This window comes from Homo sapiens, chromosome 5 (genome assembly GCF_000001405.40).
Source record: "Homo sapiens chromosome 5, GRCh38.p14 Primary Assembly".
NCBI lineage: Eukaryota > Metazoa > Chordata > Mammalia > Primates > Hominidae > Homo > Homo sapiens.
The window spans coordinates 23,766,122-23,788,725 of NC_000005.10; the positions used below are offsets into that span (position 1 = coordinate 23,766,122).

The following is a 22,604-nucleotide window of genomic DNA, read 5'->3' on the forward strand; positions in this document are numbered from 1 at the left end:
TGTAGAGTTAAAATTTGTTTTGGTCTTATCTGAGAATATATGAATCTGAGGAAAGGAGGGTTAAACAAATTCAAGCACACCATGTCTTGATTGGAAACAATTAATCATTTTTTGGGGGGATAATTAATCAACCTGTTTGAAATGGTATGGTTTCAAATCTCACTGTTGCCTCACAGACTAACCCCCACGTGGCCATTTTTTAGTCTACCAGCATCTCTCCCCTTTCAGTCCATTTTCACCTTTGAGTGAAGATTTATTGCAGTTCTTTTGTGGATATAAATAGTAAAGCTGTACCATTGTACTGATCGAAATGTTGTTTAGAGGATCTTGTCTGCAGTTGAAAAAAATGGGGCACAGAGATTTCTGTTGTTTTTGCAGATTGAAGTAAAAATAAATGGCTATGGAGTAGCGTTTTACATCTTTAGTAATCACATACTTGGCAAATTCAACAAAGATGAAAGCTTAACTTTAGGATTTTTAAAATAACTTTATTTTAGGATTTTCTTTTAAGTTTGAAACATGTTTCATACCTCTTATAATCTATTTGAATATTCCTGTATAACAAACTGTCCTAGTTCCTTAGTTGGGGTTATTAATGGTTTAACTTTGTTAATGTCGGAAGAACTGGTTTCATATTTAGTAATTGTCAAGGACAAGAGAATATCATGAAATTATTGCTTTAAAGAACAGGCCTCACTGCTAACAGCGTAGACCTTGAATCAGCAGTAAGGGAAGAAAGTAACCAAGAGGATGAGGCAAAAAGCACATGCGAAAAAAGATTGTAACATCCAGTGGTGTTCAGTATTTACATGTTCTTATTCCTTCAAGCCTCTTCTTGAGCAGAAAGAGTCAGACTTCTGCGTACATTAAAATAGATTACACTGTACTCTTATTAAAAAATATATTGTAAAAATTACTTTCCGGCCGGGCGCGGTGGCTCACGCCTGTAACCCCAGCACTTTGAGAGGCCGAGGCAGGCAGATCACGACGTCAAGAGACCGAGACCACCCTGGCCAACATGGTGAAACCTCGTCTGTACTAACAATACAAAAATTAGCTGCGCGTGGTGGTGGGCGCCTGTAGTCCCAGCTACTCGGGAGGCTGAGGCAGGAGAATGGCTTGAACTCGGGAGGCGGAGCTTGCCTTGAGCCGAGATCACGCCACTGCCCTCTGGCCTGGGCGACAGAGGAAGACTCCATCTCAAAAGAAAAAAAAAATTACTTTCCAAACAATTACATATTCCTCAACATTAATAACATCTATTTATATTTTTATTCAATTCAATTAAACACTATTTTAGGCATGTTGTAGTTTATAAATGAGGCATTACTAATATCTCATAAATACATAATTACACATTTGCCTCACATTATTTGGCATAATTCCAAAAAGTAGAATCTCTTAGTATCAAATAACACATATTTTAAAGTTTTTAATAAATTCCCACTAAAGTCATATCTGGAAAGGTTATTTCAATTTACACTCCAGCTAACAATATTTGCACAAAATGATACAAATTCCAAGCACTGTTAATTAAACTTGGCTAATATGTTAAGCGAAATTATTTCAGGTTTGGTTTTAATTTTATTATATAGTTTTTTTTTTTGTAAAACTAAAATTAGTAACTCTTTCTTTATAGAATTATACTAGCATTGTATAGAATTTTATAATCTGAATTCTTTTTAAACTATTTTTGTTATGAGAATTTTCGCATTCTGCTTATTTTCAAGAGCTGTGCAATGCTAATAATATTAATTCTTTAATAATTTATTTTCTATATATTTCCATTTTGAATTTTTATTTGCTTGTGTGAGACAAGTGATTATTTCCTTTTGTTCCTGCATAGACAACTCTAATTTTCTTTTCTTTTTTTTGAGACATAGTCTCACTCTGTCACCAAGGCCAGAGTGCAGCAGCACAATCTCAGCTCACAGCAACCTATGCTTCCTGGGTTCAAGCTATTCTCGTGCCTCACCCTCCCGAGTAGCTGGGACTACAGGCGCACGCCACCACGCCTGGCTAATTTTTTGTATTTTTTTTGTATTTTTTTTTTTTTTGTAGAGATGGTGTTTCCCCATGTTGGCCAGAATGGTCTCAAACTCCTGACCTCAGGTGATATACCTGCCTCAGCCTCCAAAAGTGCTGAGATTACAGACGTGAGCCACCGAGCCTGGCCGACTCTAATTTTTAAGTAGCGACATTTATTGTTTTACTTAAAAGTCCTTGATTATGACTCACTTTTAAAAATGGCTCCTTATCTCTGAGTCTGTAACTACTTACCTGTTTTTATGATGTTGTAGAATAATATATAATTATATTATAAAATATCAATTTTTTTACATATTTTCTATGGTGCGAATGGCTGATCAGTGAGTAGTATCATAGAATTTGATACCAATATATATAAATAAAAGTGAAAAACAGTGAAAGAATAAACAAATATCATTAGTGACTATCTCTGGTTTCTAAAATTATTACTGACTTTTTAATATTTATGCTTTTATGTTTAATACACGTTTATAAAATATAATTTTTTTGTAAAATGTAAACAATGAAACTATAAGACTATTAGTATGATATGATAGCAAACTTATAGATATATGAAGTCCCTTATTTATTAGGTGCTGTTTTAGCTATAACTATGTAGTGGTGAATTTGACTGACAAGGTTCCTCCATTAAAAGAATATATATGAGTCTTTATGTTGTGGAGGAAAAATAATGAACAAATCCAAGAGTAAAATAATCAGAAATGTGTTCTATAGAAAATAAAACAGTGCTCTTTTCTTTTCTTTTCTTTTTTGTGACTGAGTCTCACTCTGTTTTCCTAGCTGGAGGGCAGTGGTGCGATCTTGGCTCACTGCAACCTCCACCTCCCAGGTTCAAGCGATTCTCCTGCCTCAGCCTCCCGAGTAGCTGGGATTACAGGTGTGTGTGCCACCACGGCTGACAAATTTTTGTATTTTCGGTAGAGACAGGGTTTCGCCATGGTGACCAGACTGGTCTCAAACTCTTGACATCAGGTCATCTGCCCACCTCGGCCTCCCAAAGTGCTGGGATTACAGGTGTGAGCCACCATGCCCGGCCAAAACAGGGTTATTTTCAATATCTGGTTTGGAATAACTTTTTCAGATTTTGTAATCTTTAAGGATTTTCTGAAAGATGACATTTAAGTCTATATTTGAAAGAGATAAGATCCTCTTGTGGAAGACTTGGGGAAGACTTTTCTACTTTGTTTAAACAAAATTTAATAATCACAGGTATGGTAAATATTTTTTAACAAAGAGCAACAACTCCTTTTTCTCCCCTCCCCTCAGACCCTGGCAACCATCATTCTACTTTCTGTTTTTATGAGTCAGACTATTTTAGACACCTCATGTGAGTGGAATCATGCAGTGTGTGTCTTTCTCTGACTGGTTTATTTCACTTAGCATAATGTCCTTGAGATTCATCCATGTTATTGTAAATGGTAGGATACCACTTTTTTTAAGGCTGAATAATATTCCATTTATATATACACACCACATTTTATTTATGCATACATCTGTCAATGGATGAGTATGTTCCAGAGATCTGCTGTACTTCACAGTGCCTACGGCTAACCCTACAGTATTGTGCACTTAAAAATGTGCTAAAAGAGTAGAATTCATGCTAAGTGTTTCTACCACACAAAGATGACAAAACAAAGCAAAACAAAAATCACAAAGCTGACACAGAAAACTTTTGGGGATGATGGTGTGTTCATCCATTCTCATGTTGCTATAGGGATATACCCAAGAATAGATAATTTACAAAGAAAAGAGGTTTATTTGACACAGTTCTGTGTGGCTGTGGAGGCCTCAGGTAATTGACGATCATGGTGGAAGGGGAAGCAAACACATCCTTCTTCACATAATGGTGGGAAGGAGAAGTGTTGAGCAAAAGGGGGAAAAGCCCCTTATAAAACCATACGATCTCGTGAAAACTCATCCACTATCACCAGAACAGCAGCATGGAGGTAACCACACCCACGGTTCAATTACTTCCCACTGAGTCCCTCCAGTGACAGGTGGGGATTATGGAAACTACAATCCAAGGTGAGTTTTGGGTGGGGACACAGGCAAACCACATCAGATGGATATGTTTACTACCTTCATTGTGGTGATTGTCTTACAAGTATTTACAGATGCCCAAACTTCAACTTTATAAATTGAACATGCAGATTTTTTTCTATGTAAGTTATACCTCAATAAAGATGTTGGAAATTGATAATGTATTTTTAGTAATTGTTCCATTGTGTAGTATGATAAACTTCATTGACAGTCTTGCTCAGAAAGAATAAAGCTTTCTGCTTCATATACACAAAGTTAACTCTTAATAATGTACTTCTTAGTATAAATTTATGTATGATTCATCTGCATTAGCTGATAAAGTTCCAAGGTAAGACACAATTTTTAGTACTTAACAGTCTGTTATGGACTGAAGTGTATCCCCTTAAAATTCCTATGTTGAAATGTTAACCATCAATGACTGTACTTGGAGATAGGTCTTGTTTAGAAATAATTAAGGTACAATGAGGTAATAGGGTAGGCTCTAATCCAGTAGGACTGGAAGAAGAGGAAGAGACAGCAGAGGAAATGCCAGGTGAGGATACAGTGCAAAGTTGGCCATCTGCAAGCTAAGGACAGAGACCTCAGGAGAAAATTACTCTGCTGAAACCTTGTCTTGGACTTTCAATTTCCAGGACCATGAAAAAAATAGATTTCTGTTGTTTTAGCCATCCAGTCTGTTTTATTCTATCATGGTGGCTTTAGTAGACTAACAAATATCTCTTACATTAACTAAAGTTATATGAAAAGTACTAAGTTCAACAATTCCCCATTGTTAATTTTCATTAATATTAATTTCTAAAGGGATCAATTAAACAATTCTCTTCTGTAGATGCAATTTATAATGACTTATTGTCTCAATTTAATTTAGTTTTCAAACATGCTCTTATATGAACTTTACAAAGTGTTTTCCTCATCTTATAAATAGAGTAGAAAAGAGAATAAATCTCTTTTTAGAAATACCTTAAAAATTTGATCAGAAGTTTTAGAACAGTAACTTAAAATAAGCATTGCTTTACCTTAGTTCTACTGGTATCTCCTATTACTAGTTCCACTAGCTATAAGAAATAACATACGCTTTATGTTTTATATTTCTTGAAATTTTTTCAGACTTGCTTTACAATCTTTAATATAGTTCACTAAAATATATGTATATATTTATGTTTATGGGATGATTTTATCTCTGATTTTTTCTTTTGTCTCTAAAATATTTACACTATTATTTAAAAATACTTGCAGCTTAACTGTAATCTAAATTATCCCTTTGTTTCTATTTCATTTTTCTATTGATTATAAGTCACATTTATTGTTTCTTTTCCTGCCTTACAGTATGTATAAAAAAGCTTAGAGACTAAAGTCTAAGGTCCTTGTGTCCCAGCTTTTCCCTTAGGCCGACAGGATGAGGGGTCTAAACACATCAAACTGATCATTCACTGAGTTGAATCAAGTCTGAGTTTGCTTTCTCAATTTGCTTAATGGGCTTCACTCGATTCCTAGTATATTTGTGGTCTCCTGAGGTAGCGCTCCTTTGGTTTAGTAATAGCTTTATTGATATATAATTCAAATACCATCATCTTACTCTCCTTAAGTGTGAAATCCAGTGAGTTTTGATATATGCACAAAGTTGTACAACCAGCACCAATGTCTAATTCCAGAATACATTCATCATCACAACAAGAACATCAGTTACTTCCCATTTCCCACCCTATCCTATGCTCCACTCCTGCCAATAGTAATTTGTAAATTTCTGATGTTATGGATTTTCCTATTACGTATGTTTTTATAAATGAAATCACTCAACATGTTATCCTCTGTGACTGGCTTTTATTTTACATAATGTTTTCAGGGATCATCTGTGTAGTAGCATGGAACAGTACTTCATTTCTTTATATTCCATTGTATAGATATAACACATTTTCTTTATTCATTCATCAGTTGATGGGCATTTAGATTGTTGCCACTTTGGGCCATAAGGAATAATGTAGCTATCAATATCCACGTACGCATCTTTGTTTAGAAATGTTTTCATTTTTCTTGGGTACATATCTAGGTGTAGAATTGCTGTCTTCTATGTTATATCATTTGAGGAACTGCCAGATTATTTTCCAAAGCCTCTGTACCACTTTACATTCCCACCAGTAACATAAGGTTCCAGTTTTTCTACATCATTATACCTGTTATCTGTCTTTTTTGTTGCATGCATTTTAGTGGGTGAAAAGTTTCCATCCATCTTTCTGTTTTTGCATTGCGTCTCCCTAATGATTAACAATGTTGAGCACCCTTTCACGAGCTTATTCTTTGTCATGCAACTTTTTTTGGGAAAAGTCTATTGAAATCATTCGCCCACTTATTTGTTATTTGTCTTTACATTGTTGAATTGTAAGCATTCTTTATTTATTCTGGATCTTTATGGAGTTTTGACAGAGAGCTTGATAGGTTTCCTTCCATGCTTCAGAGGTTTGAGTTGAGCATTTTGAGACGCTTCTTTATGTCAGCACCACAAGTTTGCTGGGGATTGCATTCTGCCCAGCCCGGCTGCATTCTGCCCAGCCCGGCTGCATTCTCCCAGTAAGGCTCTCTCAAACTCTTGAGAACTCTACATTTTCAAAAGTTTTGAACTTAGTTCTTCGGACTTCTGAAAAAAAAAAAAAATCATGATCTGGCCAAATCCTTGAAAATCACTATTTTTAAATTTGTTTTGTAAACTTATCCTTCCAAGAGGGCTTTGCTCCTGAAACACTTCAAGATTTCATTTTTCACTCAAACTCCACATAATATTGATGAAGACTCAGCAATGAAAATATGTTTTAGAACAAAATGTTATTAATTTTGTTATATATTTTTAGCTTGTAACTTTTATGTGCTGTGCCACTTGTAGAAACATACCAAAACTTATTTCTCCAGTCATTTGTTGATAGACATTTGGAATGTTTCCAGTTTGGTGCTATTAAAAATAAGGCTCTAAAAGCACCTCATATATTTCTTTTAGTATCTCTTGAGAATCACTTAGTAATGCAATTACAGAGTAATAGCTGAGACAAATATGAAGCTTTAGTTGATACTCTCATACAACTTAACACAGTGATTGTACAAATTTTCCCTACCACCAACAGTGTATGACAGTGGAAGTAACATCACATCTTTATGAACATGTGATATGGATAATGTTCTGTTTTTCGTTTTAATTTTAGATACTGGGGTGGGTGTCTAGTACTATAACAACATGGTTTTACTTTGCATTTGCCTCTGGAGCAATGAGATTAAGAGCCCTTTAGGATGTATATTGGTTATTTAGATAGCCTCTCTGTAGGTGTGCCTCTTCAACTTGCAAATATTTGCTGAGTATATAAGTTGTATTTTGTCATCATGGTATGGTTTGGCAGAAAAAAAATTATTATTTTTTCATGCAGTCTAATGTATAATTATTTTTATTTATCATGTCCAATTTTTGAATCATGAGTATAAAACAATTGCTTACTTTTTAGGTCATAGTGTGGTTCATCTACGTTTTCCTCTAGATTTTTACAGTTTTATTATATTTATGTTAACTATATTTTTATAGTTTTATTTTTTACACTTATATATGCCTGATTCCTTTGCTCTTCCCAACCCCTTTAGTATTTACCCTTGGCCATAATGCACTATATATCGATATTTTTATTTTCCAAATGTTTTTCCAGTTTTCCCAGCCCTCCTTGATTCTTCTATAGTTTGTTCACAAGACTCTGCATGAGTGTTCTTCATATGTGTGTGTGGTTTTAGTGGTTTTATTTTAGCATTCACCTGCTACTGAGAGCCTGTGAGGACCTTTCCCATTTAAGTGCATTCTCATCGCTTTCTCACTCAGAAAGTGGAAATAAATATAGGGAAGGAATATGAATAATTTTACACGTATGTATGTTTGTGTGTGCATGTGTGTGTGTGTGTGATTTCTGTGTGGTTGATCAGAATGAAGACGAATAAAGAAAATGGGAATGAGTATTTAATTTGGTGATTTCTGAGTGACCCATATGCTAAGTTTCCCTCTAACCTCTGCTTGTCCTTTCAGTCAGCCCTGTGGCACTGCTGCTGAATCTATACAAGTGCTGTTCACAGGTAGTGCAGCCATGACTCATCCCTGCCACCAATAATTATTTTAGTAATATTATCCACGCTTTCATTCTTTTGTATTACTGGTTGCTTTCCCTGGCTTTAGGTGATGATCAGAAGTGATTTTTAAAATGTGTGAATTAGTTTTCTATTGCTGCACGACTCATTACCACAAACACAGAGGCTAAAAACAAGAGCCATTCATAATCTCACTATTTCTTAGGCCTGGAGTACAAACATAACTTAGCTGGGGTCTTTCCTCAGGCCCTCCTCAGGCTGTAATCAAGGTATCAGCCAGGCTGGGGGGTTATTTGACACCCAGGTTTCTCTTCCAAGCTCACGTGGGTGTTGGCAGAATGTGTTTCTTGATGACATAGAACAATTTCTCCAGGCTCCTTCAAAGCCAGAAGGAGAGAAATAGTCTCTGAACCAAAGAGCCCTCTGTCCCTGTTTGAAGGATTTTCACCTGGTTAAGTTAGGCCCACTCAGGATATTCTTTCCTACTATTAATCTTAAATCAACGTTTTGACACTTAAAGAAGTTAGACAAAATTCCTTTACCTTTCCCATATATTATTTACCAGAAACAAGTCACACTTCCCTTCCACACTCAAAGAAAATGGATTATAAAATAGTATGACTTATTGAATTTCAAACTGAGTCCAACCCACTCTGTCTCCATGATTTCTCCAAATCCAGATCAAACTCATACTTGATACAAATATTCTCCCCCTTTTTTTTCTTTTTGCTATGGTCTGAATGTTTGTATCTCTCTCAAACTCACATGTTAAAATGTTAATCCACAAAATGATGGTTTTAGGAGGCAGGGCTTTTGGGAGGTGATTAGGGATTATTGCTCTTATGAGAGAGGCCCAGTTCTTTTCACCATTTGAGAATGCAGCTAAAAGATACCATCTATAAATTGAGAAATGAGCTCTTAACAAGCAACCAGTCTGCTGAACTCTTGACGTTAGACTTTTCGGCTTCCAGAACTGAAGGAAATACATGTCTGTCGTTAATAAACCACCCAGTCTATATTTTGTTATAGCAGCCTGAATGAGCTAAGATAATCTTCATAGAATTGTTCTGCAATCTACACTTCACCCACCTTTACTTGTTATAGCCTCTGATGTTCTCTGTGGATCAGAACTCTAGTCGCAGATTGCTAAATTTTTCTGAGCTCCTTATGGACCACCTCTCTTTGTAGTTTTGTTAACCAAGCTTGACTAATTTTGCCTTCCTAACTCCTGTCAGACTCTGACACTATTTCCATACATTGCTCTGAAACACCGATTTTTACCCCTTTTGGATGGGGTCCTTAAGGTTATTCCAATTCTGCCTTCCATATTGTCCACCTAACCCACAGGAAATCCATGAATTGATAAACAAATACAAATATATCCCTAACCCACTACACTTTTGTCTTTTTATTGGCCCAGACAACACTCTAGGTACCCCTGCCCTCTTAGTCATGGAGTATGGGTTCATATAAGCAATTATCTTGCCCAATTAGACCCTTCTGAGAAATGCCATTTGTGTCCCCTTGTAGGAAATCCAATCTGTGTGTATGATTCTCTTTGAATTCTACTTAAATATGCAGATTCAAGGAATAGACAAACTTCTTGGCATAAATACTGCAATCCCCTCTCCAAAATTCCTACATAGATTGTTTCAGGAATGCCATGGAATGACAAGCAATCATGCAGCATTTTAACAAGCCCCAGATAAGCTGAAATGATTCAATTTATGGTTGATTTCATAGAACATGAGGTTCTAAGTGCATCTTGATTTTAACTGTAAGCTCTAATTCCAATACCAAAGAAAGTTCTACTTAACTTCCAGTAACAAGTTATACATATAAAACCAATCTAAAATGTTGATAAATTACAGTGGGATTATACACGAACATTGTTTAGAGGGAATACGCATTTCAATATCCTCAGTGTCATCATAATTTGCAGTATAAACCCTTCCTAATTTTCAGGGTTCCACCCTTTCCTTATTAATGCTTCAATTTAACATTATAGGTACTGCATGCTAATAAATTTAATTCACATTGTATTGAAACCACCAATATTTTTGTCTTTGGTTTGAATTTCTAGAAATCTCTGTCTTGTGGCTATAGGAGATTAGATTTTTTTTCAAGGTAGTCATAGTAGATTTCTGGTCTCTAATGTGGACCTTCACCTGAGAATTTTCTGTGACCTGCAAATTTTTTCTCTATGTTGCTAAGTGTTCTTAGAAGCAATCCTCCAACTCCTTTATACAATTTATTTTCACTAGTCTATTATGTCAGAAACTACTTAATGTTTAACTTTACTTTCAGCATGCACTTGATTACAAGTATCTACAGAGGATAATTTAAGTAACCGTTTTTCCACTGTTTGCCATGGGCCTCCAATGACCCTTTAAATACTGATGATAGAGACATCATTGTCTTTAAATGTAATCAGATATGAATACAAAGTAGAGATTCTTATCCTGAACTTTCAGTCCTCTGGAATAATTTGTGATATCAAAAACTATTTCAGTCAGGACTGAATCAAGGAAGTAGCACAATTTTTCTTCCTTATCTGGCAGTTGGCCTGAGGGAACTCGTGATCCAGAGTTGGCACTTGGAAGGAAGAGCTAGACACAGAATGGTTGAGAACCAACGTGAACCTTCAGGTATCTATTTGTTATCTATCACCATGAAGGGGAACAAAGACAACCTGAAAACTGACAGCAGCTCTGAATTTCTCTCTTGGCTCGTCTGACCACAATGGCCTTCAGAAACTAGTGATTACTGCTTTATTTCTGCCCTCCAAATTTCATGCAATTCTCTCTCTTTTTTTTTTTTTCCAAACTCTCAGGGGGAAACAGGCAGGGAAGGGCATTCCTGGAGAAGCAGTTCCAGATTATCCTAGTTGACATGGTGTAAAACTGTGAGAGCTAAACAATTCATAACAATATCCATTGTAATTTTTTCAATAAATCCATAAGATATCAATATTAGTAAATTAATCTTTCCAGTAGATGGTTTAGTATAGGGTTACTTTCTTTGGTTTCTATGTTGTCTGAATATTTATATTCATGATACAACTAGATGTACAGTTGTTCAATTTGGGGTGGGGTGATGCATAGGAAAAGAGGACTTAAAACTTGAAATCAGATTTAACAAGGAAACTAAGTAAGAAACTATGTATGAAAAAATAATCTTTTCAATACAATAAGGTCAACTGCAGGCATAAGCAGAAATTGTAGTTTACAATGTTCACCTAATAAAAGGAAGCAAAGAGCTGAATTGAGATTTACCCTAGCAATTCTAATCTGCTTACATTTTCAAGAATTGCTGACATCTAATCAGAAAGCTTGAGGATTATTATATTTAGAAAAATATGCTTACATAACATATAATCTTCTATCCTGTTTTATGAGTAAGATTTTTTTGCATGAAACATATCTTTGTATCTGTATGGTTAATCTTTTGATGAAATCATAAAACACTTTTCACAGCAAGAAATTATGTCAAAGTCACTCTTTATTTTACACTGGTTAAGGCATAAATATAAGGATTTAAACATTTCTCAGAATACCAAGTTTCTTATGTTCAAGTTGATCTTTATCAGGGTTTTTTGATAGTGCATATTATGACAGTAGAACTGGTTTTAAATTCTTAAGAAAATACCTGAAATAAGGAAATGTAGAATCAATCGTCCATTTGTGGAGTGGGTGAAATTTCCTTTATCTTTCAAATAACTGAGAAAACTCCATGGTGTATAGATAGTAAATCAAATTTTCAATAATTTAAGTGCCTTCTAATTTTAAAACCTATACATTTATCTGGTACTAGAAAACAGCATCTTTTAGCCAATTATTTTTACTTTACATTATTTTTTAAGCTTTGGGCTTTTCAAAAGACTTGATGTCCATTATTTTAGTCACATGTTTTTGTACATAATGAAAGGTGTATGAGCATACGTGTTCTAGATTATCTGACGATATTCTCAGTACCTACACAGTCAAATGCAGTAAAAAATTGACTTAAATTTTCCATTTAATGGGTCCATTCTAATATGCTGAATTTATCAACCCAATGTTTATGGCATATTCTTTCTCATTAATTAGTTTTTCTTTTTCTATACAACTAGCACACTGGCTAATTTCAAGCAGTTAATTAATACTTGATGAATGGATTAATAAGTGAATGATTGACATAATCTAGAGCATCCACAGAGTTTTTAAATAACTGTTGTTAACCAAAAAGAGTCTTGGAAAATATTTTGTCTTAAAATTAAGGCCAGTGGACCTGTGTTATTTTTTATTCTTGTAAATATCCTATTCCTAATTGTTTTTTGAATCTAAGAATTAGTTCTTGCATGGACTTGTAAGTTTTAATTATGCAACTTTTCTGTGAAACAGGTAAGAATGCTAAAAATGCCACCTATGACAAATTAATTCTTCTCAACCTTTCATTACAGTAATGTCATAGTCAAAAAGGAACTTAGAAATCACCCAACCCAATCCTATTCTCTTTGTATAAAATCTGTGATCTCATCCATTTAATATTTCCAGTTCTGAGTTTATTTTTTCTACTTTTATATGCATTCCAGTGTCCTGTACCCAGTTGAGACAGAGCCACTGATTAATATATTCACATTAATATAATATTTTTAATGTTTTAGAATATAATCACATTTATACAATGTCAATTTATCTGGAGAGATGTGTGGACTTTTTATTGTACAATTCAATAAAAATATTTGATGCCACTATGTTAATAATTCTATGGCAAATCTAAGGTTTTCACATAAGGGGGCAAGCACACAGTAGTGATTTTCTTTTTATATTTTAATATGTAAAGTAACAAGAACAACTATTTCAAAAGAGTTTTTTTAAAAAACTCTTAAAAAAGCAGTACTTCATTTCAAAGTTTGAAGTCTCTACGTTTTCTGAAATAACGTCAGTGTTCCTTCCTATTTCTACAGTATGGTCTATAAGGTTAGATTTGTAGTATCTGATCAACTTTGGATGTCAAGATAGGAAATAATCCATCTCTTGTGTGTGTATAACAACATGTACTTCTGCAATAGGAAATAACTCTATAAAGAACAGTTTATATTTTTACATACATCACAATGGCTGAAAGCTTTACCAGTTTCTTAGTCAAAGTGGGTTTGATTAAAAGTCTCAGTCCTTCTGCTAGCGGCTCACCAAATTTTCTGGAACAATATTATTTTACTTTAGTTTGTGTTGTCTTTTCTGACCTTTCTCAAATTAGAGAGAGTAATATCTATTTTTAGATAAATCTATGTAAAACCAATTCTGATTCAGGTTTGTTAAATGTTGAAAGTGGTTGGTAATTTTTAAAAACTCATCTATAAGTGCTATAAGTCAAGTAAATCCTTATAAGCTCTACAAGGTGTACATGGAAGGATGTTTCTGACATTAAAAAGAAACTAGTGAGATGGAAGACTATGCTTTATTTAGGGGTTTAAGATTAAATTTAATATTATTCTGTATTAATCTGTACAAACTTGCAACTCCTACATTGAGTACTGCAAGGATAGAATCTACAGAAAAAAAGTACATATTTAAGTAAATGCTATTTTTATTGTTTGTAAGTAAAATAATTTCATGAACAAAACATATAAAATTTAATACCACAGACCCACATAAGCATAATTTAGTTTATGGAGAAATATGCACACACACACACACACACACACACACAAAAGCACATAGACACAAACACACACACACACAAACACACACACACATACACACACACACACATATATATATTTCTCATATCATAACCATGTATAATGTTTCCTAGTCCTATGAATTTGTTTAGTAATGACATATGCTTATTAGTTGACTAATTTGTGCCTAGGATCATTGCAGGTCCTGAGAATGTAGCAGTCTATTAGTGATCCATTCTGCTATAGCGAAGTACCAAAAACTTAATGACTTACAAGGGGCCAAATTTCCTATCGTATAGTGCTAGAGATCAGAAGTCCAAAATGGGTTTCTCTGATCTAAAAATCAAAGATCATTCTGAAAGCATTAGTGGAGAATCCATTTCCTCACATTTTCGGACTTTTAGAGGCTTCCTCTACACCTTGGCTCATTGCTCCTTCCATTCCTTCAAAGACAGCAATTTAGCATCTTCAAATCTCTTTCTGATACTGAACAACTTGGTCTTTTTCTTTCACATATAATTTCATTTCTTCCATTTGGATAATCCTGGATAATCTTCACACCCCAAGATCTTTAATCACATCTGCAAAGTCCTTTTGGCCTTGTTAGGAAGCACATTCACAGCTTCCTTGGCTGAGGATGTGGACATTCTTTGGGGACTTCTATTTTGCCTGCTAGAAGTGGTAAATAAAACAGACTAAACCCTCTATGTTCATAAGAGTATATTTTAGTGAGAAAGGTAGACAAAAAACAAACCCATAATTTGTCCTCTTTTGTATTCCTACAATTTATTTGTATCATTATTTTATTTATAGTTTTCTCAAGAAATTATCTATATTATTGCCCTCCTCAACCACTCAATTTTTACCTTTGTAAACACACTCAATTTCATACACTTATGTTCATGTATATTTCTCTCTCCTTCTACTTTATTTGGTTTAATTTTCCTATTATTTTCAAAACTTCATAATATGTATGTTTAGCTTAACCATTACTAGTCTTCTTTATTTTGTTTTATTTTTAAAAATCTATTTCTTTAGAGACAAAGTCTCATTCTGTTACCCAGTTGGGAATGCAGTGGCACATTCTTGCCTCACTGTAGCCTCGAACTCCTAGGTGCAAGTAAGTCTTTCATCTCAGCCTCCTGAGTAGCTGGGACTGAAGGTGCACATCACTGTGTAGGAATACTTTTAGTTATTAGTCATTTTTGTAGAGAAGGGGTCTCATTTTGGCTCCCAGGCTAGTCAGGGACTCCTGGCTTGAAGAGATCCTCCCAACTCAGCCTCCCAAAATGCTGGGATTACAGGTGTGAACCACCACTCCCCGCCTTCTTTATTTATATAAACTTTCAGTGTTAAAATTTGCCCCACAAGTACAGGTTTTATGGTATTCCACTATTTTCAAATATCATCTTTTTCTATTTAATTAGAATAAAACATTTGTTTAATTTTTCCTTGGATCATAACATAGTAAAAGTTTTGTTTGTGTCTGTGTGTGTGTCAGCAATTTCCAAGGGTTGCTATAATTTTCTTTAACGTTTTTTATTGTAGTAAAATACTTGTGACATAAAATTTACCACTTTAAATGTTTTTAACTGTGCAATTCAGTGGCATTAGTACATTCAGAGTGTTGTCTAACTACCATCACTATCCATTTCCCCTCCCCTTAGGAATCCCTGTTCTACTTCATATCTCTCTGAATTTGCCTATTCTAGTTACCTCATTTAGGTAGAATCACACAATGTTTGTCCTTTAGTGTCTGGCTTCCTTCAGTTTTTATAATAATTTCAAGGTTCAATTAAAAAACTTGATTGAATTATGTTTAAATATCCTTGATCTGTTACAGTACCACTCATAAAATACTTTGAGATAAGCCTTTGTTTAGCACTTAGTCATTTTGTTTAGTATAACCCCTGGGTGTTTATGAGAAATATGATTTTCCTAATAGTGGGGATAGACTAAATTGTAATTGTATTTTTCAAATATTCCATACCCTTACTATATTTTGGCCTTCAGAGAAAGAAATAGAGCATGCGTACTGCAGCAAAGCTATAAAGATTAAATGCAACCATTTCATGACTTATGGAAAAGAGCAAGGAAGGAGATACTAATATAACACCAAACTTTTAAGAAATATAATCAGAATTCAGAGAGAATTGTGCAATTATTTAAAACTGTGCTAATTGGACCATATTTTATTTTTCACAGAATCTGTCTCAGATTGCTCTCCTTAAACTCCTACCCTTTTCTCAGATGTAATTTAATGTATAAAGGCACATAAACACAAACATTAGATGATAAGATCACTCTCCATCTGATATGGTTTGGCTTTGCATCCCCACCTAAATCTCATCTTGAATTATAGTTCCCATAATCCCCACGTGTCATTGGAGAGACCTGGTGGGAGGTAATTGAATAATGGGCAGTTTCGCCCAGGCTATTCTTGTGTGACAGTGAGTGAGTCTCACGAGATCTGATAGTTTTATAAGGAGCATCCCCCTTTGCTTGGCACTTCTCTCTCCTGATGCCATGTGTAGAAGGATATGTTTGCTTGCCCCTTCTGCCATGATTGTAAGTCTCCTAAGGCCTCCCCAGCCATGCAGAACTCTGAGTCAATTAAACCTCTTTCCTTTATAAATTACCCAGTCTCGGGTATTTCTTTATAGCAGTGTGAGAACAGACTAATACACCATCTTTCTCCAATATATTCTGATTTTATGCATACATACACAAGCACACACATACACATGTGTACAAACATAGACACATACAAAAATATATGGATACCTATTTTATGAAATAACTGCTTTGTAAATCTGTCTTCAAATATAAATTAGAATTCTAGTTTGCCCATTTCACTTGTGTCTGTCTATGTCTAATTAAATTACATAAGCTTTGTTTTACTAAATGAAGACTGAGGAAAACTACGCATTAAATGTAGATACATTTGAAAAGCTCTAAACTTGAATCCTGATTCTAGCACTCCTTTCCTCTCTGACATTGATGTGGCTTATATTATCCTGGTAGGCAGTATAATGCTTCTGCCGAAGATATCATTGCCCTAATACTCAGAAATTGTGAATCTGTCATATTATATGGCATAAATATATTTGCACATATAATCAAAATCATAGACCTTAAAATAGGGAGATTGTCTTGGATTAACTAGGTGGGTCCATCTACTCACATGAGAGCTTACAAGCAGAGAACTCTCTCTGGCAAGAGAGATGTAGCAGAAGGAGATCAGAGATTCTAAGGGTGAAAAGGATTCAGTGTACCCTTGCTGGCTATGAGATATAGGTTCCCACATTCAAGGACAAGATAGAAACCTCTTGGAGCTAGACCATCTGCCAGCTGACAGATAACAGGAAACGAAATGTCCTAAAACTGCAAGGACCTAGATTCGGTCAACAACCTGGGCAAGTTAGAAGCACAATTTTCCCAGAGTATCCTGAGAAAAGTCTAGTTAGCTTGATTTTGGCTTTATCAAATTCAGAGCAGAGAAATCAGTAAAGCCAGCTAGAACTTCTAATATATAAAACTGTGAGATACAGAATTTGTGGGGTTTGTTTGTTTTTGTTTGTTTGTTCATTTGTTTGTTTTTTGAGACAGAGTCTCGCTCTGTCATCCAGGCTGGAGTGCAGTGGCGTGATCTGAGCTCACTGCAACCGCTGCCTCCTGGGTTGAAGTGACTCTCCTGCCTCAGCCTCCTGAGTAGCTGGAATTACAGGCGTGCACCACCATGCCTGGCTAATTTTGTATTTTTGGTAGAGACAGGATTTCACCATGATGGTCACGTTGGTATTGAACTCTTGACCTCATGATCCGCCCGACTCGGCCTCCCAAAGTGCTGGGATTACAGGCATGACCCACCACACCTGGCTGTGTTGTTTTAAGCCACAAAATTTGTGCCTATTTGGTATGGCAGCAATAAAAAGCAAGTACAATTATCTTTTTCAACTCAAACATGAGTCTCTAGACAACTAGAGAAAATAATGCTATGTCCCAAGTGTGTGTATGTCGTAGGTATTCAAAGTGATTAATAAGTAATTTTTGACATGTATTTTAAATTTAAACTGTGATTATATAAATCACATTTTTCCCCTTTATGTATGTGTGTACAAATGTGCACACCCATGTGTATAACACATTGATCATATTTAATTACCTTTGGGAAAAGCAGCTACCATCTGATTACTTAATACTTTCACTGACATATACAGATCCAATACAGGGAAGTGTTACAGTGGAAAGTTCCTGATACAAAAGACAACGATGAGGGTAAGTATCATTGCCTGATTCTAAGAAATAGAGGTATGCTACTCCAAAGGCAGACAGAAATGCTATCAAATTTGCTATATTTCATTAAAATACTATACCTTTCTATGCAATCATCTAGTTAATTTTTTAGCAAAACATGTAAGAATGTTCTTACATAGTACATGAAATAAGAGATGCTCTATTGTTATTCATAAATAGATAAAAAGAGAGATGTGGCAGAAGGAGATCAGAGACTCTAAGTGTGAGAAGGATTCAATGCGCTTTTGCTAGCTATGGGATACAGGTTCCCACATTCAATGACAAGAGAGAAACCTTTTGGTTTCTCTTGTCCTCTGAGATTTTTTAAATGTTGGTTTTAAATGAAAATATAATTAACACTTTATTTGGTATTATAGGATTTTCAAATGGATATAAAATTTATATTCAACACTTTAAAATTATAATTGAATGATTTCATGTTTCTGTGGAAAATATGACAGAAGAGAGATCATGTGGCTTGTAATAGATTTTAGATGAGCCCAATGGTTCAATATTATTTTCATAGTTTGATTTTTTTTAAAGCAAGAATGAACATGGTTTTCATTTTTAAAGGATGATTATATTTTCTTTCTTGGAAATTAAATTGTTTTGAGAATGTTATAGCAAACAGAGTTGAGAATGTTGTAGTAAAATAAGAGATAGTATTTATATGTAGTCATGCCATTCAGGTATAGAATGTTTTTATCTATTGATTTACTGTAAATTAGACAATAAATTGTATATTACTTGGTAGTATTATTCTTTCATTTTCTGTTGCTGCATATGGCACCGTCGAATAATGGAAAATTTGCCTGAGACTTTCCATTAATCCCTCACTGCCCAGATAATGTAATACTTGATTCTGAAATAATATAAATTTTATTTCAAAAAATCATTGCAAAATATTTTAATAAAAATATTTCAATACAAAGTTTTAAGTAATACAGTTTATTTTGATTCAATTAGTTTTGAAATTATCAAATAAAAAGATTTGGGGAATAAATAATTTCACTTTCTCTGTGCTTTCTTCCACTCTTTACATCCAATAATCTCATCTTAAATTTGAATTTAGTGGAAAGTGTTCATAGAATCCTCCCATAGTCTATGCTTAAGGAAGAATGAGTAAAAGTCCTTGTATGTTAACAATTTTCATCAAACATACTGGAGACAGCATGCCCCTCCTACCAGAATTTTTGCAGATTTTTGAACCTTTATAAACTTCTTGTTTATGAATTGTTGAATTGTTGAGGTTCTAGAGATATAGGCATCTGCTTTTAATCTCCTCTATATCTTTCCTGAAGCTATGTTAACAATTATAGGGGTAAATTGATGACTGAAGGAAAACAATCAGACACACACAAACACACATATATGCTTTGCACGAAACACTGCATTCAAAAAGAAAACCTAATAAATCTACTTTTTTAATCTTTTGAACATTCAATAAATAATATTTTTCCCTTGTCAGAAGAAAAGTCTCAGAAATGTGAGAATTGGTTACTGAAAAAAAGAGGTCAAAATCTATATTAAGGTATTAAAATTCACATAAGGTGATTGATTTGACAAAATGAGAAGAAGACTAGCAAAAAAATGGACCAGAGGAGAAAATAATAGAAAATTTATATAGTATTTACTCTGCAAGCAAATATTTTTAATAACATATATGAATGAAATGGATAACATAATTTATAACATGAATAAAATTTGCAGAAAGCACTTCATATATTTTGTTTATAATAATTAAAAGGAATATGCTACATATACCTCTAGACATATTTCCCTCTGTTTTTCCATTAGAATACTATGTGAAATGTAACATTCTCTTAATAACAAATAACAAATGTTCTCAATGCTTAAAATAATTTAAAAACCTAATAAAATATTCCAAATAAGTTAATAATATGCATAACACAAAACATTATGTATATTTTATGGCAGAGAACTTATACATGTTTTATTAAAATATGTATAAAATTTTGTATAAAATATGTATAAAATATGTATAAAAATGTACAAAATATGTATAAAATATGTATAAAATTTACCTCTAGTAAAAAGCACAGATTTAAATTGTGTAATACTATGAGTTTTGAAAATGAGTATGCCTCATACAAGACTATCAACCTATAGAGCATTTATCATTCCAGAAATGTCCATTGTACCTTTCAAATCAATCCCACCAAAGGAAAACAAGACACTATTCTGATTTACATTTTCACAGATTAGTTTTCTCTGTTATAGAAATTTAGAAATCCAAGTAAGCAGGAAGACATCATATACTGTTTAGAACTTCAGTTAGTTTGCAGAGAAATCTATTTTTGAAAATTGTTTATAATATTGCACATATAGGTATTCTTTTTATTTTCTGAGTAAGATTCCATTGTATGAATATATCACACTGTTTCTACCCATTCATCTTGGGTTGGATATTCTGTTTATAATTTTTGTTTTTTATCACTAAAAGTACTACAGATATCTTATGAAAGTTGATGTGTAGTAATATATTTTAATTTCTCTTTGGTACATAGTTAGGAGTAAAATTTCTAGATTATACATGTTTAATTTTATGTGTACATAATCAGATCATCTACTAATAAATGCAGTTTTACTTCTGGTATTCTGAAACGTATGCCTTTTCCCCTATCTATGAAATCTTTACCAAGCTCCAGACCATGGGTTTTTTTTTCTAAATAACCTTGTAGAAATGTTACAGTTTTAATTATAATTTTTAAATCTATTAACCCATTCGAGTTCATTTTAGTATATGGTGTGAAAATGGCTGTCTTTGTGATGTTCTTCAATATTTTTAAAAATGTATATTCGATTGTCCTATTATCATTGAATAAGAAGAATATTCTTCTTCCATAAGTTTGCTCTGTCATCATTGCAAAAAAAGCAATTGACCATGTAAGTCAATGATAATCTATTCCTGAGCTGTCCTTGTACTATTGATCTTTAAAGATATCCCTTTGGCGATACCACACTGTCCTGATTACTATAGCTTTAAGGTCATTCTTAAAATGAGTGAGTATAAGTACTACAACTTTTTCTTCTTTAATTTTTTTTCTATTATAGGTCACTTCAATACCTATATAAATATTATGATCAACCTATTAATTTCCACAAGTTACGTTTTAGAATTTTGATTGGGTTTCCTTTGAATAGATAGAGATATATGTAGCTAGATTTGAGAACATTCTTTTCCTAAATATTTAACTGTGAAAGATACTCCAGGAAATGTATTAGGTTTTAAGATTTAAAAAAATCCTTTAGGCTTTGAGGTGAAAATACCAAGTTACTTATTAAGGTTAGAAAATAAGTTTGGCATCACACACCTCAACAAAATAATGCAAGACAACAGTGGAGCAACATTATAAAGAGACTCAAGAAAGATAGCATAAGCCAGAAATTCTGTATCTAAAATTATTTTCTTCAAATCTCTAGGTAATAGAAAAACTATTTTAATGATTCAACAACCCAGGAAAATTCCTTTCTGAGGTTTTGAGGTAGTGCCTAACACAAACTTTTTGTTTTTTTAAGGCAAATAGCACAGATATTAGGCAATTCAGATCATAAGACCTCTGCCACATCTATTAAATTCTGTTGTTAAAATGTAAAAGCTACCATAAAAGGTTGGTCAATGAATTGTCATGGCTGTGTTTTAATAAAACTTTATTTACAAAAACAGGAGGCTTACAATATTTCCATATATAGTTTGCTGATCCTCATCTAGGGCAGCTATTATCAACATATTGTTCTTAGATCATGCTCATCAGTAACACCTAGGAACTTGAGGGAAATTTGCACTACCTCTTCCAGACCTACTAGATCAGAAATTTTGAGGAAAGTATTCAGCAATCTGTGTGTCAGGGACCTACAGGTGATCTTTATGCATTCTGAAGTTTGAGAACCACTAATCCTGAAGATCAGTGTTATTCTAACGGGTTGACTGAAGGAATATTAGCAAAATGACACCTGGTGACCAATGAATACAGAGGAATTTGAAGTCTTCTGTGCACTATGGTAAATGAGAAAACAAAGCCCAGATCCAGCATAAGTACAATGTAGATTGACTAAATTTCTTCATTAACCAGATAACTGAAAAAGGGCATATCTACTTTGGATGTAAATGTTTATTTTAGCTTTTACTATTCTTTGATATACAATGTCTGATATTAAATTTTATAACTCATTTAAAAAGTCAAGAAATTATGTTAATGAAAATAGTGGAAAATTGAACATGTTTGCACAGTTGGAAAAATCCAGCATAGAGACAGAAGTCACATAAAAGAGACAAATGAAAATGTACTCATAAGAACTTTATTTTTATATAAACCAAATCAGTTTTCAACATAATTGTACCAATTACATATTTTTGCCAAGAATGTCTGAGATTTACTGGTTTGACATTCCTGGAAACACTTGGTTTTGCCAGGGTATAAACGTATTT

General features: G+C 33.7%; 1 long non-coding RNA gene across 1 annotated transcript in view; it reads right to left on the reverse strand.

Moving 5' to 3' along the window:
* Positions 1–6,085: 6,085 nt before the first annotated feature.
* The window catches only part of LOC107986377 (uncharacterized), a 57,078-nt gene continuing 40,559 nt past the window's right edge, over positions 6,086–22,604 (reverse strand). Inside the window, exon 5 of the long non-coding RNA XR_001742503.2 lies at positions 6,086–6,721. This is a non-coding gene — a long non-coding RNA (uncharacterized LOC107986377). The remainder of the gene's footprint in view (positions 6,722–22,604) is intronic.